Source organism: Homo sapiens, chromosome 4 (assembly GCF_000001405.40).
Source record: "Homo sapiens chromosome 4, GRCh38.p14 Primary Assembly".
Taxonomy (NCBI): Eukaryota; Metazoa; Chordata; class Mammalia; order Primates; family Hominidae; genus Homo; species Homo sapiens.
The window spans coordinates 100,164,407-100,181,430 of NC_000004.12; positions in this window are offsets into that span (position 1 = coordinate 100,164,407).

Below are 17,024 nucleotides of genomic sequence, written 5' to 3' on the forward strand. Positions count from 1 at the left end.
GTTGTTGTCATTTGTAAGTTTCCTTCATTTTATTTAGAATAGTTTAAGCTTAACAGAGGGTTAACTATGTTAGCAATGCCTTCGAACCAAAAATATTTGAAATATTTTTGCAGAATTTACTCATGTTAAATTGATCTGAAAATGTTTAAGGATCACATGTTTAGATGTTTCTAAGTAGTGCATCCTTTTTCTTAATCAGGAAATCCTATTAATCTCTCAAACTATATTTGTTTTCTAAGTTTTCAGTATAATACAATTTTATTTCCTGAATAATAGAAATAAAAGAAATAGGTTTCTTTTGGTATTAGGTGTATCTAGACATTTTTAAACAAGAAAATTGGGTTTTTTCCTTTTTAAAGTATCAGGTAGCTCGCTTTCCATAAAGTTATAGTTTACTATATATTTTCTTATTGGATAGTGATCACAAAAATGAGTGCTTTCTTTAATAATATTTAGCAGACACATTTATGAAAGCAAACTAATATCACATTTCTTCTGAGTAGTTCCCTGAGGATTTTCTTATTTCCTCTTATTAAGAGGATTCTCCTATTGAGTTTTAAGGGCAGTGAGACTGCATAATATCTAGTGACCGAGTGGATTAATTTACATTATATTTAGAAACATAACCTCCCACATGTTATATCCAAGTTGTAGTCAACAGTTTTAGCTTTCATAAAAACAAGCTTACTATTTTCTTTACCTAATACCCACATACTTTGACTAGGTTACTTTTTGCTGTTGTTTTTGTTTTTTATCACCATTTTGTTTTGAACAATGTTACTGTGATTCTGTTTTTTTCTGATTAATGATAATAGTATGGTCAGCCCTAACACATTAATTAAACTCTCTTTCTTTCGTGATCTTTATTTTCTCAAGAATATAAATCAGTAAAGTCCCCAAAGTGCAAGAAAAGATTTTTGGTGTCATTGAACGTCAGGAAATTCAATATATGTAATTGGAGCATGTATTGAAGTAATATGACGGAAGTCAGTTAAAAATAGATAGCCGTTGTAGTAATTTACTTTTCAACATGCATTTATCAGCACAGGAGTGCATCAAAAAGCTCTTTTTGAAGCACTTGCATTTCCTGTCCTTATTCTTAAAGTTACTTTGAAATTTGAGAGGGAGGGGCATTGCAGCTGCTGGCCAAAGAGCTGCCAAATAAGACATACGTTTAAAGCAGAGAATGGTGCTAGATTCTTACTGAAAAGAACACACAAGGCCTGTTACCCTCATAAACAACTAAAAGCAAAAATAGAGATTGTTGAATGACATTTAGGCTTAGAGGATTAGAGAATCAGAGAATCTTAATGATGGAAGAAGGTCTTTCTTTGCATCTATTAAGAAGATTATCTGAGACTTTAACTCAGATGCCTTCTAGGCACAGGTGATATAAACTAGTGACATTCCAGGTGACTGGAATGTACATATCCATCCACAATACTATCAGGGAATGCTGGCTGTGCTGTACACCATTAGATTTCTGAAGAAAAGAGAGAAATTTGGATTATAATGTGAACATTTCTGGGTCACTGAGCACAATTGCACAGATTGTGAAAGTACAGCTGCACAGCAGCATGCAGTGCCTTGTGACTATTTGTAAGCCAAACAAAAGATTGCATGAGGGTTAAATTCAACCCACCGGTAGGAAGTTTGCAACCCTGTGGTTTAGACTGTTAGAAAGGTTTCATTATTATTATCAAACAGAAAAATCTGTTTTTCAGCAGCTTTGGTTCCCTGGATTTTGGGGTCATGTTGAATGAATGTAATCTTCATGCACACAAGTGTTTCAAATATTTGAAGTCAGTTATTCTATTTCTTTAGACCTAAATTTAGGGTCTAGGGAGACAATCAAAGAAATAAATTAGGTTAGTCTGTTATAAAAGAATGATAAAAAAATGTAAGGTGGCCCCTGGTCTTCACTTCTTTTCCATGTAAGTGCTAACAATTACTTTAGTAATGCATTTTAGAATATTGCCTTAAATTAAAGTCAAGAGGACTAGTGTATTGTTGGAGAATCTGTCAATCTCTGGCCTACCCGGTGGAGAGTTCTAAAGGTCTACCACCTGTGGACTCCTTCCTGCCAAGTCCTTGAACCCTTGAGAGTGTGGCTTGCAGGGTATTTGGTGAGTGGGATCCTAAAATAGTCTGTTGTGTCCACACCTGGTGTTCGGGGAACTTGGAGAGAATTTAGCCTCTTGATGACTTTATGAGCTTTAGATTACATCCTCTGTTGCTAATTCCCTCTGTGTTTGTGGCCATGTTTTAGTCCATTTTCACGCTGCTGATAAAGACATACCCGAGACTGGGAAGAAAAAGAGGTGTAATGGACTTACGGTTCCACATGGCTGGGGAGGCCTCAGAATCATGGCAGGAGGTGAAAGGCACTTCTTACGCGGCAGTGGCAAGAGAAAATGAGGAAGATGCAAAAGCGGAAACCCCTGATAAAACCATCAGATCTCATGAGACTTATTCACTATATGACAGTATTCACTTATAACAGTATGGGGAAGCTGCCCCCCATGATTCAATTATCTCCCCCCAGCTCCCTCCCACAACATATGGGAATTATGGGGTACAATTCAAGATGATATTTGGGTAGGGACACAAAGCCAAGCCCTATTAGGCCTGTATCTGTTAGACTGAAAGGTCATGCTTAGAAAGAAGTAGTAAAGACTACTAAGTTTGTGCTGTGCGCAGTTCCAAGCGCTTGATGTATATTAAATCATTTAATCCTCACAATCACTCTGAGGTATTAAACTTATTTTTACAGACAAGGGAACTGAGGACAAGAAACTTTGCCAAGGTTACACAGTTAACGATAAATCAGGGATTCCAACCCAGGCATTTGGCTTTGGGTTTGTGCATCTTCCGGAGTCTCAGATGGTAGTGGAAGTCCAGGGACCTAGGGTAGACTATAGGAAGGAAGATGCTCTGTGAAAAACAACCACTTGGATAGAGACGCTGATCCACTCTCTGCCCTACATCTGGCCTTAAGCCAGCCTGCTTGTGTGCTTCATACCACCTCTATACCAGTCCACAAGGACAATCGCAAACACTCCTGGGTGTGCATGCAGTGGCCAAGGAAATCTTATTGCTTATTGCTGCCCAGCCTCACTTTCTCCTGTCTTCATCCAGTGTTGAACTCTGGCCTCTGCAGTCACAGTCTACCCTGACTTTAGAAGTTGCTGTTTGTGTTTGGTCCCCTCTACATTTGAACCTTGCCTTGATCTGACTAGCTTTGCCTTTCCAGCATTTAATGCCTCCTGCTGGTGTGGCCCTGCCATGAACCCCAAGTCAATATAAGTTTGCATTTGGATTCCACAACCTCATCAATGGCTGTGAGTCTTTGAAGAAGTTAAGTATGCCTTTGAGGTTTACCCCTCAGGAAAATGAAGAAATTATATCTTGCTTATTGGATTATGAAGATTAACCAGCAACATTCTAGTACAGTGTCTAGTACAAAGTAAGTGTTCAAATGATACTTCTTCTTATGAAGTGGGCCATCCTAGGCCTTGAATTGAAGGATAGAGCATTGAAGAAGCAGGGCTGTGTGGAATTCATGTGCCAGAAGAGTGGCAATTAATTTCCCACGTGGGCAGTGGCAGTGCAGCCAGTAGCAACACTTGGATGCTTGCAAGGAAGTCACTGGGTTAGAAAGTATGAACATTTCAGGCCTCTTCATCCTTATTTAATATGTTCTTAGAAAGGCTACTTTAACTTAACATTGCTGCAGCTATGAACATATCCAATCTTAGTCCATTACTTCTATAACCTGTGTTTCTATAACACTCATTACCTCAAAAGCTATTGTTAAATAGGGGGAAGATATCAATAGGACATGGAATTTGGTCTGGTCATAAGCAATTTCACCACAGTTGCCTACAAGTCACAAAACTGAGTGTAAATTACATGAACACAGTGGGAGGCAGCAAGCCTCAGATGAAGATGCTCTATGGAGCCCATTCACCTCCTGGGGTTCCTCTAGGATCAATTTGGTTGTACTTGAAAGTGCATATTGTTGGGTTCTCCCTATCCTTTTCTTTTTGTCCTTGTTTTCATGATTCAACAAGGAGATCCTTCCTTACACACCCTTTCATTTTTAGCTTTCACTTTTTCTTTTAATAGTAAAATCCTACATTTACTACTGTAACATTTCTTTACGGTTGTAGCTTTTTGTTTGCTCGGTTAGGACTGTTATTATTTTTGTTAGTGCTCTGGTTACAATATCGGTTTTGAGTGACTAACTCTAATCATAATTTTTTCTGTGAATGCTGTTATTTTTAGAATGCAGTTTGGCAGAAAGGACGATTTCTTAGGAATGTTGTATTAGAATAAACAGAAGCACTGGTAATTCCTTCACTTGCCCAGTCACATCAAATCCCAGAGAGATTTGTTAAACACAGAATTGACCTCAGATCTGATTCACAATCTCCCAGGGGTAGCTCTGGAAATTTGTTAATTTGTGACCCAGGTGATTCCCACGTTACACAAATTAGGGAAACTCTGCTCTACCTTGGTTGGGAATAGGCATGCTTTTTTTTAACATTAATATTTTTTACATTTATTTTTACATCAACACAGTATTGCTTTCAATTAATACCCTCCCCTTGTTTTTATTAATTAGTTACAGCTCTACTACTTTATGATCTAAATTGTCCTGATCTGTACAAGGATGCTTCACTCTGCCTAGTTTTATTTGCAAAGGTCCTTTCTAAGGCAAGTATTCACAGACTTCATTTTATTTGCTCATGATAACATTGAATCCAACCACCCTGTGTAAAGGACTGGCTCATATTTCCTATCATATATTATCAAATATTATAACATAACAAAAGCTTTCATTTAAATGATTTAGACAGGATACATGAGTTTTTAAACTGCCTTATAAATAAGTGCAAATCTTGTGAAGATAGGGGTCAGGTGAGAAGTAGAATAAATAAAGGTGATGGGGGAAAAGTGCTTACTAACAGAAGCTTTAAACGCAACTACATAGAAAGGCACGTTGAAGAGATAGTTTTTGTTTGTTTGCTTGTTTGTTTTCACATTTTTTGCTTGCTTTCTTGGTCTAGTCCTGAATTTTTTAAAGAGGAAACTTTGTTTTGTTTATTTTTCCTACTTGAATTAAAGTATAGAAAAGACACATTACAAGACTATCATAAAAGGTTTGTTGTAAACTGTGTAATTTGTTGTAATACTCTGGAAACTCAGAGTAATAAAGATAAACCAACTTATAATGGCAATGCTTGGATTCCAGAAATACTTTTTTTCCATAACAACCTTGTTCATTGCTCTTCTACTTACACCTCTGAGGCCAGAAACCCCACAGTTTATATCAGCATTCAACTGGATTTACTGTTACTTCCTCTGCTTATTAAAGACAAACACAACATATACCAGTCAATAAGCAAAAAGAAATCATTTTTAAACTAATAAAATTCCACTCTTTGCAATGATTTAAAAGTTGCTAGATGAAAGAATTTGAAAGTGCAGCCATTTGAGTTGATTACTATGAAAAACTAAAGCAATACTTTTCAGGGCTTCCAATCAAGAGCAGCTTTGAACTTTGGCTCCCATCGTGCACATCAGTAATTCTGTGACTCAGGCAAATAAAGTATTCTTCGCCCCCACACGATCTGGGAGAGGCCATCTGGTGTGGTGCTATACTCAATAATATGTTATTTTGGGCCTCTACTTCAACTGGGACCCTTTACATTTGTAGACTGATTATTAAAAATCAGTTTTCTCATTGTCTGTTGTTTTTCATCACACCTAAGATCATAAGTGGAGAGTCTTGGGCATACAAAAGTTTGGAGAGCTGGTACTGCCATTTAGGGAGTTATCCTTATGTCATTTTCAGTGAGTCAGGTCAAAACTTCCTGGCTGTTCTCTCCAGCCTCTACAAATACATGAGACCCTAGCAAAGCCTTTTTCACTGGCAAACACTTCCTTTGTTTATTTACAGATTCATGCTATGCTAGTTAGACTTATGTTTGATATGTCAGAATTGTTCCACACAAACCTGAGAACACTGTGATGTAAGTTACCCGAATGAGATTGATGCAGAGCTGAGACCAACAAGAGCCCTAATAATTTGGAATTTAAAATGTTGCAGACTTAACTCCTTTCCATCACTTCAAACAGACATTAATTTCTCATTTCCACCTTTCTACATTCACCTTAAAAGGAGTGGCAATTGTAATGGATGCCACTGTGTGCCATACAGGTCCAGGACACTCATCTACTCAAAAACTGGATGTTTTGGTGGCTGACAACTTTCAGCTGAGACCTTCTGCAGGCAGTACCCTCACCCAAAGTTATGTCCCTTCTTGGAGGCAGCCATTCCAATAAAAAGTCGCAATCTTCCATCCAGTTTCCAGAATTAAGTCAATATTTAGAATAAAACCTATATACAAGCATATTTTGGTGATATTGTGGATATCATTCCAGACTACCACAATAAAGCAAATATTGCAATAAAGAGAGTCCCAGAAATGTTTTGGTTTCTCGGTGCACATAAAAGATATGTTTGCATTATAGTGCAGTCTCTTAAACAATGTACACCCTTTAATTTAAAAATACTTTATTGCTAAAATATGCTAATGATCATCTGAACCTTCAGGGAGTCGTAATCTTTTTGGTGGTGGAGGAGGGTCTTGTCTCAATGTTGGTAGTTGCTGACTGATCAGGGTGGTGGTTGCTGAAGGTTGGCATGGCTGTGGCAATTTCTGAAAATAAAACAACAATGAAGTTTGCCACATCAACTGATTTCTCCTTTCACAAAAGGATTTCCTGTAGCACGTGATGCTGTTTCATAGCATTTGACTCATAGTAGAACTTCTTTCCAAATTGGAGTCAATCCTCTCAAACACTGCCATTGTTTTATCAACTAACTTTATGGAATATTCTAAATCCTTTGTTGTCATTTCAGCAATGTTCACAGCATCTTCACCACGAGTAGATTCCATCTCAAGAAACCATTCTTTGCTCATCCATAAGAGGCTACACCTCATCTGTTCAAGTTTTATTGCAGCAATTCGGTCCATCTTTAGGCTCCACTTCTAATTTTGGTTTTCTTGCTAATTTTACCACAGCTGCAGTAACTTCCTTCACGGAAATCTTGAACCCCTCAAAGTTATCCATAAGGATTGAAATCAACTTCTTCCAAATTCCTGTTAATATTGATATTTTGGCTTCCTCCCATAAATTACAATGCTCTTAATGGCACCTAGAATAGTGAATCCTTTCCAGAGGGTTTAAAGTTACATCCAGATTTATCAGAGGAACTACTATCTATGGCAGCTAAAACTTTACAAAATGTATTATTGAAATAATAAGACTTAAAAGTTGAAATTGCTCTTTGATCCATGGGCCGCAGAATGGATGTTGTGTTAGCAGGCATGAAAACAACATTAATCTTCTTGTACATCTTCATCAGAGCTCTTGGGTGACTAGGGGTATTGTAAATAAGCTGTAATATGTGGAAAAAAAATCTCTTCGTTTGGTTTGTTTGTTTTTGTTTTCTTTTGTGTTGTTTTTGTTCTTGAGGTGGAGTCTCACTCTGCCACCCAGGCTGGAGTGCAGTGGTGCAATCTCGGCTCACTGCAACCTTTGCCTCACGGGTTCAAACGATTCTCCTGCCTCAGCCTCCCGAGTAGCCTACAGGTGCCCACTACCATGCCCAGCTAATTTTTGTATTTTTAGTAGAGATGGGGTTTCACTATGTTGGCCAGGCTGGTCTCAAACTCCTGACCTCAAGTGATCCTCCCGCCTTGACCTCCCAAAATGCTAGGATTACAGGTGTGAGCCATCGCGTCCAGCCCCTGTTTTTGTTTTATGAGCAGTAGGTTTCAATGGGGGGTTTAAAGTATTCAGTAAGCCATTCTGTAAACAGATGTGCTGTCATCCAGGCTTTGTTATTCCATTTATAGAGCACAGGTAGAGTATACTGAGCATTTTCCTTAAGGGTCCTAAGATTTTTGGAACGGTAAATGAGCATTGGCTTTAACTTGAAGTCACCAGCTGCGTTAGTCTTTAATATGAGAGTCAGCCTGCTCTTAGAAGCTTTGAAGCTTGGCATTGATTTCTCCTCTCTAGCTATGAAAGTCCTAGATGGCATCTTCTCCCAATAAAAAGCTATTTCTTTTCCATTGAAAACCTGTTGTTTGCAGTAGGCACCTTCTTCAATGATCTTAGCTAGATCTCCTGGATAACTTGCTGCAGTTTCTATGTCAGCACCTGCTGCTTTACCTTGCACTTTTATTTATTTATTTATTTATTTATTTTGAGACAGAGTCTCTCTCTTGTCGCCCAGGCTGAGTGCAGTGGCATGATCTCGGGTCACTGGAACCTCTGCTTCCCGGGTTCAAGCAATTCTCCTGCCTTAGCCCCCCGAGTAGCTGGGATTACAGGCGTCTGCCACCACGCCCGGCTAGTTTTTGTACTTTTAGTAGAGACGGGGTTTCGCCATGTGGGCCAGGCTGGTCTTGAACTCCTGACCTCAGGCGATCTGTCCACCTCGGCCTCCCAAACTGTTGGGAATACAGGCATGAGCCACCACACCTGGCCACCTTGCACTTTTACATTAAGGAAATAGCTTGTTTCATTAAACCTAATGAACCAACCACTGCTGGCTTCCAACTTTTCTTCTGCAGCTTTCTTACCTCTCTCAGCCTTTATAGAACTGATGAGAGTTAGGGTCTTGCTCCAGATTAGGTTTTAGCTTAAGGGAATGTTAGGCTATTTTGATCTTCTATTTAGACCACTGAAACGTTCTACCCATTAACAATTAGGCTGTTTGGATTTCTTATGATTCATGTGTTCAGGAGCAGCACTTTAAATTTCCGTCAAGAAATTTTCTTTGCATTCACAGCTTAGCTAACTGTTTGGCACAAGAGGTCTACATTCTGCTCTGTCTTGGCTTTTTCATGACATGCCTTCTTCACTAAGCTTCACTTGGCTTTTTTTGTGACATGCCTTCTTCACTAAGCTTAATTATTTCTGGCTTTTGATTTAAAGTCAGAAATATGTGAATCTTCTTTTCAACTGAACACTTAGAAGCCATTGCAGAGTTATTAATTGGCCTAATTTTAGTATCATTGTGTCTCAGGGAAAAAGGGGTCTTGAGGAGAGGGAGAGAGGTGGGGGAAGGGCTGGTTGGAGGTGCAGTTGGGATACACACAACCTTTATCAATTAAGTTTGCCATCTCATATGGGTGTGGTTCGTGGTGCTCCCAAAAAATTACAATAGTAAGATAAAAGATCACTGATCACAGATCACCAAAACAGATAAAATAATGAAAAAGTTTGAGGTATTGTGTGAATTACCGAAATGTGACACAGAGACTTGAGTGAGCACAACCTGTTGGAAAAATGGTGCTGATAGACTTGCTTGACACAAGGTTTCTACAAACCTTCAATTTGTAAAACACTCAATATCTGCAAAGCTCAATAAATAGGAGTGCAATAAAATGACGTGTGCCTATACTAAAGGGGAGGATGAACATTTTGGAGGAAAAAATTCAGCAATCCCATGGCAAGTGTATAGAATATTGATGCCCCTAGTCCTTCCCCAAAGTGACCTATAGCCGTTTGTCTGGGTTGCTGTACAGTAGAAATGGAGAATGTGTAATTTCAAAGTCTTTTGGACACAGAGTCTATGACAGTTATGTGTCAATTTGCCTGGGCCACAGTGCGCAGATATTTGCTCAAACTTTATTTTGGATGTTTCTGCAGAGGTTTTTGTTTCTTTGTTTTAATATGGGATTAACATTTCATTTATTAGACTCTGAGTAAGCAGATTACCTTTCATAATGTGGGGGGCCTCATCCAATCAGTAGAAAGCCTAGATAGAATGGGCTGACCTTCACCAGGCAAAAAGGAATTCTCCCAGCAAACTGCTGTTAAATGAAGTTTAGCCTAAAGCCACTTCCTTACATAGTTTAAATTTGGCCTGAAGGTTTCTCCATACATAGTAAACTATAACCTAACTGGATGTGTAAACAGGCTGTAACCTACTTATCTACCAATCACCAAGTTTTGGTCAATCAACGGCAGCCAATTGTTCAAACCATATTCAAATAAGTCAAATGCCAGGCTGTAACCAATCTGTCTGTTTCTGTATCTCACTTCCATTTTCTGTATGTTACTTTTTTCCTTTTTCTATCCATAAATCATCTTCAACCACAAGGCAATGCTGGAGTCTCCCTGAATCTATTCTGGTTTGAGGGCTGCCTGATTTGCTAATTGTTCTTAGTTCAATTAAACTTTGTTAAATTTATCTAAGGTTTTTCTTTTAACACTGCAAACACACACACACACACACACACACACACACACACACACACACACACACACGCAGCACTTGTCAGCTGGTTTTGTTTTCTGAGAACCCTTACTAATACAGGGTCTGAGTTGACATTTGATAACCTGAAACTTAAAAAGCATCATAATGACCCCTGAGTTATTACTAGTTTAAATGGGGTCCAGGGCTAGGTCCAGGTCACAGTGTGTCCACTGATTTCATGGATGTGGGAGGGCTATAGTTGGCCCCATCAAGCTTTTTTTCTGTCAGTTTTCCCAGTAAAATAGACCAATTAAAATCCTGGAAGAGCTAGGCCCAGAACTTATTATATAACATAAGTGGATCCAAATAGCATAAGCAAAGGACGAGGGTGGACACTGTGATGTGCCACCCAGGTTCCCTCTTCATGTCTGGAGCAAGCATAACCCCTCCTGATGGAAGTGTCGGGAACTGACTGCTCACAGACGAGCCAACACTTCAGGAATTGCTTTCCATTGAAAAGAGCTGCCTTGTCCAAAGGCACACACCCCAACCCTGTGGCAGCTCATTTCTAGTGTCTAGTCAGAGGGGCAGCAGATAGAGGTCAAACCTTCTTGCCTCAGGGTAATTAACTCCAAATGGCATCCTAACTCTAAAGTTCCCTGAAACATCAGTTAAGAGCCTTTTTCTTTTTCTTTCCTTTTTTTTTTTGAGATTGTATCAACTATTCAACCATTTCCTCTGCTCAGTCCGACTCCCTTCTCTTCCAGTGGTGTTGACTGGAAGGACATTAACTTCCTGCTTGCAAATCTCCATCTCAGTGTCTATTTCCTGGGAACCCTACTTAAGACAGTTATTAAAATGGAAATAATGCTAGATGTAAGATGTGTGGTTGCTATCTTGTTTAAGGTTCTCTAAGTTCTCTCATTGCCTATTGTGGGTGACAATATTGCCTTCTATATTAAACAAGCAGCAGAAAAGCCTGAATACCAGAAATTTACTGATACCCTCCTTTTTCTCTTCCTTAGACTCATATACCAAAGCCCGTTCATTTTTCCTTGTAATGACCCTTGAGCTAATTATTATTATCATTATTATTATTTTAACATAAAGTGTTTCTATTCTAATTTAGATATGTCTGCCCTCCTACCTAGGCTACCTCAATAGGTTTTTCACTGACCTCATGCCTCTTGACTCTTAAAGGCTATTAAATTATTATATATAATATTGTCTGATTGATTTACCCAAAATTCTATGTTGTAAAAGCTTATAAACATGAAAGTGCTCAACCACGTAACTAACTATACATTTCTTAGTGTGGCATCCCAAAAGCCTCCACATTGCAGTCCATATTCACCTCTTACTAATATGTTTAACAAAGAAATTACTAAACATTGACGAAGATAAAAATCCAAGTCTCTGCCTTCAAGTTGCTCAGAGTAATTTCAAAACTTTTTCTGTTGCCACATTATTTCTATGTACAACTCTATGCCTTGAGTAAATCCCCTTATGAATAATCAGTCCTTTAAAATATTATAAAATATTCAAGCAAATAGAAACATATAGAGAATGAGAAAATAACTGCATTCCAGATTAGAGATATTCTTATACTGATTTTTCAGGTCTCATTCCGTGCTTTCTCTGGGGGTAACTATTACACTGAATTTGGACTTTATTTTTTACGTTTATGCTTTACAATGTTACTATATATATATATATATATATATATATATACACACATAGATTCATGAATAATATGTTATACTATACTGATCATTTTTACTCTTTTTTTCAGTCAACACAATATTGAGATTTAGTTTTGTTGGAGTATGTACTTCTATTTTTCATATACTGTCTGTTGTATCTGTCTATATATCCTCATTTTCATTCCTATAGCTGCTGATGGATGCTTTCCATTATTTTCTTGTCCATTTTCAGTTTGTGAATGTTATTAATAGTCTTTTAAAAAATTGGATTTTATTTTTGTGATCCTTTCTATTGTTTATATTTTCGAAGTCATCAATTTCTGCTTATATCCTTATCATTTCCTTCCTTCTAGTTTTTGGGGTTTCTCTATTTCTTTTTGTAACATCTTTACTTGGCCATTTAGCTCATTGATTTCATCTTTTTTCTTTTCTCATACAAGGATTTAAGGCTATACATTTCTTTTCATGTACTGCTGTGGACTTTAGTACTTTTCATGTACTAAAGTGACCCCATCTTGGATATGAATCTGCCATGTTGACTGCTGATTAACCTCAGTACTAAATTTATCAGTCTTTTTCTTCAGCCTCTCAGCTGGGACAGATATGCATAGACCTGCTTACCAAGGAAAACTGCTTTAACTGCATACCGTATGTTTTGCTATATAATAGTTTCATCAGCTCCTTTCTTCTGGAAATGCCTGTAAGATTTCTACTTTATCTACTGTGTACCATAAATGTTATTGTAAACAGACACCAATCATAAATCTGGCCCACAGGCAAATTCCCTAAGGTAAATAAACCCTGGTTCTGGTGGGTATTAGCATGGAGATTCACCATCTCATTTCATGGTGGCTGCACTAGACATGGTTTCTGTTGTAAGTCTCTATTACATGTTTCTTTCTGAGAAACTAGACTTATTAGTCTCTTTCTTCAGCCTCTCAGCCTCCTTGGACCTTTGGAGACATGTATGCCTACACCTGCTCACCAAGGAACAACTGCCTTAACCACATACTATGTGTTTTGCTGTGTAACAGTTTCATTGTCATTAAATTCCAAGTTTTTTCTAACTATCTTTTTGACCCATAAATTCTTTAGAAGCATATTTGTATTTAAATTTCTAAATGTGTGAGGTTTTTGTGGCTGGTTTTTAGATTTTTATAATTCATTTCACAGAACAGTCTTTGTTAATTTAAGGTTTGCTTTGTATTATAAAATTTAAGTTTTTGTAAATTTTTTATGTATACATGAAAATAATGTGTGTTTACTAAGTGGGGGCTTATAGTTCCAGGCATGGTCATTAAATGTGGTACATAAAACTAATGTTTATGGTGTCATTCACATCTTTCACTTCTTTAATTCTCTTTTTGATTGATTTCTCAATTATTGAGAGATGTGTACTAGTATGGTCCACTATGATTGTAAGTTGCTCAATCTACTTTCTAATTTTGCAAATTTGCACTTATTATTTTGAGGCCATATTATTGGGTACAAAGGTATTAATCAGGATAGATCAGATTATGCTGTAATATCAAAAATCCCCCAAATTTCAGTATGTTAACAGAAGGTTTATTTCTTACTTACACTATAGCTTTAATTTGAGTCAGCAGTGAAAGAACTGGATTAATTTTCTTTACTCAGTGACTCAGACTGACAGATGTGTCCTCTTGTCATTTCTGGTCACACTTCTTTGGTGAAAGCATTTCAGATGACCTTAGCTAATTTCAAGGGGGTTTAGTGGTGGAGAAATATAATTATATCCTATCTCCAGAAGAAGAAGCAGAACTTTTGGGGAAAGTCTAATGACTATTACAACATACAAGTTCGGTACTATTATATTTTCCAGGAAAATTATTTAGTTATTATGTTGCAATTCACTTTATCCCTAATAATGTTGGTTAAGATTATAAAAAGACAATAGAGGAAGCAGTGTGAAATATGATTGATATCTGTGCTCAGACCTTAAGATAGATAGATATATATGTGTATATACAATATGTGTGCACACATATATACACACATATATGTGTGCACACATATATACACACATATATGTGTATATATGTGTGCACACATATATACACACATATATGTGTGCACACATATATACACACATATATGTGTGCACACATATATACACACATATGTGTGCACACATATATACACACATATGTGTGCACACATATATACACACATATGTGTGCACACATATATACACACATATGTGTGCACACATATATACACACATATGTGTGCACACATGTATACACATATGTGTGCACACATGTATACACATATGTGTGTATACATGTATACACATATGTGTGTATACATGTATACACATATATATACACATATATGTGTATACATATATATACACATATATGTGTATACATATATATACAATGTGTATACATATATATACACATATATATGTATATACATATATATACATACATATATGTGTGTGTGTGTGTGTGTATGTGTATATATATATATATATATATATATAGCTTACTTTGTAAGAACTAATAGAGGCCCAGTTCTTACACTGGCTGTGGGAGACAATTCTCCGTGGTTCCGTGGTTCTCTCATATTTCTGCTTGTCTTAAAAGGGAGGCAGTGATTGCCTTTAGTTCTGGACTGTCTTTTCAAGGATATTTTTATAGTGGAAAACTGTGGAAGATAGATAGTGTCTGAAGCAAAGGGTAGGCATCCTCTTGGGTTCCCTAAGCTCAGGGTTCCTCTCCTGCAATGTAACCCATAGGCCTCCAACTGGGCCTAACCTTACTACTCCTGTGGGACTTAAAGGGAAGAGTAGACTGATGCAAACATGCTGATGTTCATGCTGCTGGCTATGGAGCAGTAGTAAAATCCTTGGAGTCTTGTGTTTTCTACAAGTATCCATGAAACTGTGGCAGGCTAATATGTTACCTTGAAAGTTGGGTTAATTTTAGACCCTTGAGAGTTCTTTGACACCAGATTCACTTCCCTTCACGTTAAACTTGTCTGTCCTGATGCTGCTGGTACTTCCTTCAGACTTCACAGTGTCTGCGATAGCAAGTTCACTTTGAATTAGGTGGTAGCTACCCAGAAGATTCTCTGACACGGTAGCCGTTGGCTCAATATCTTTATGCTGTTGCTGATAGAATACTGCAAAATGCTCTTCTATATTCCCTTCAAATGGCTTTAGAGTTTTGCCTTGAAACAGGTTTAGAAAATTTCTTTCTCAACAAAGCCACACTTGAGCTATAATTTGGTTTATATGAATCAAACCATCTGTCTTTGCTTTTCCTTCAGCATGTTTGGATAGAGTGAAAAAGTATCCTTTTTATATTCGTAAATTATTAGCAAGTATTTGTTATGTAAATAATTCTACCTAATTATTAGTTCTGAAAATAAGATCAAGTCTTAGTTATCCAGATGGTCAAGTTCTTCAGCAGCCTTGTTTAACTCGTTTGCATTCCTCAGCATATAATCTGTGAGAATTTTTCGGATATTCCATGTTCAGGCGGCAAAAATCACTTTATATTATCCTCCGCAAAGGTAAATCTATTGCAAGATTAACCATATGCAATGGCAATACTTTTTTTTTTTTTTGAGACAGTGTCTTGCTATGTCACCCAGGCTGGAGTGCAGTGGTGTGAACATAGCTCACTGTAGCCTTGAACTCCAGGGCTCAAACAATCCTTCCACCTCAGCCTCCCGAGTAACCTGGACTACAGGGTCAGGGCACTGCACTCAGCTAATTTTTAAATTTTGTGTAGAGACAGGAGTCTCACTTCGTTGCTGAGGCTGGTTTCGAACTCCCGGCTTTATGTGAGCCTTGTGCCTCAGCCTCCCAAAGTGCTGAGGTTACAGGCATGAGCCACCATGACTGGCAGAAAATTCTTGGGTAGAGATACAGATAATTTTATTTTCCCCTAGAATTTTATTTAAGTTTTTAAATTGCCTTTAAACATTTTTAAATGTTTTATTAAGTATTAAGCACAAAAAGAGATTTATCAAATGCATGTAAAACATAAGGAGTTATGATTCAATAACATATTTGTGCATACCTCCAAATTTAAGGAAATGATTGCTACTATTTCCTTTGATGTTTTCTGTTAATCTGTTATTATTCCCACTTACTTTTCTCTCTCTTCAGACGTATTCATTCTTCCAAAATTTGCGCTTACAAATCCCCAGACTTTTAAACAGATAAATCGTATATATTTGCATCCCTAAACATTTTAATGTTTTATGTCTTTATTACATAAACAGAAAAAAGCTCTATTTGTTCGTTTGTGACTTTCTTTTTGTAATCAATAATATATTCCAAAGATTCATCCAGATAACTTGTAGTTTATTATTTTATTTTTAAAGGCTAATCAACTGAGGTAGTAGGAGTGGAGAAGGAACAAAAAAAATCTTGGTCAGGCACAGTGGCTCACACCTGTAATCCCAGCACTTAGAGAGGCTGAGGCAGGTGGATTGCTTGAGCCCAAGAGTTCAAGAGCAGCCTGGGCAAAATGGTGAAATCCTGTCTCTAAAAGAAATATTTAAAAAAATTAGCCAGGCATGGTGGCACACGCCTGTAGTCCCAGCTACTCAGGAGGTTGAGGTGGGAGGATCACCTGAGCCAGAGATGTTGAGGCTGCAATAAGCCATGATCTCGCCACTGCACTTCAGCCTGGGCAATGGAAGGAAGACCCTGTCTCAAAAAAAAAAAAAAAAAAAATCTGTAACTGGTTGTAATACATTGCTTGTAAACATCACTGCACTCAGACCAGCCTCGTTTGTAATTTAAAGGCCATTTTCATTGCTGACCAGCATTCCATTTATGATGATACCCACAATTCATGTACCCGTTCCTCAGTTGATGGGCAGTCCACGTTGCTTTTCCAGACAGTTGTGTTGCTGAACTCCTGTGAGAGTCTCCTAACACATTAGTGCAAGAATAAAAGGCAGTAGTCTTAAAACGGGGATATATGTACAAGGATATACAAATGTTTCCCATGTGATATGTGGATATGTAGGGTGTAAATAGTTTTAGGGGA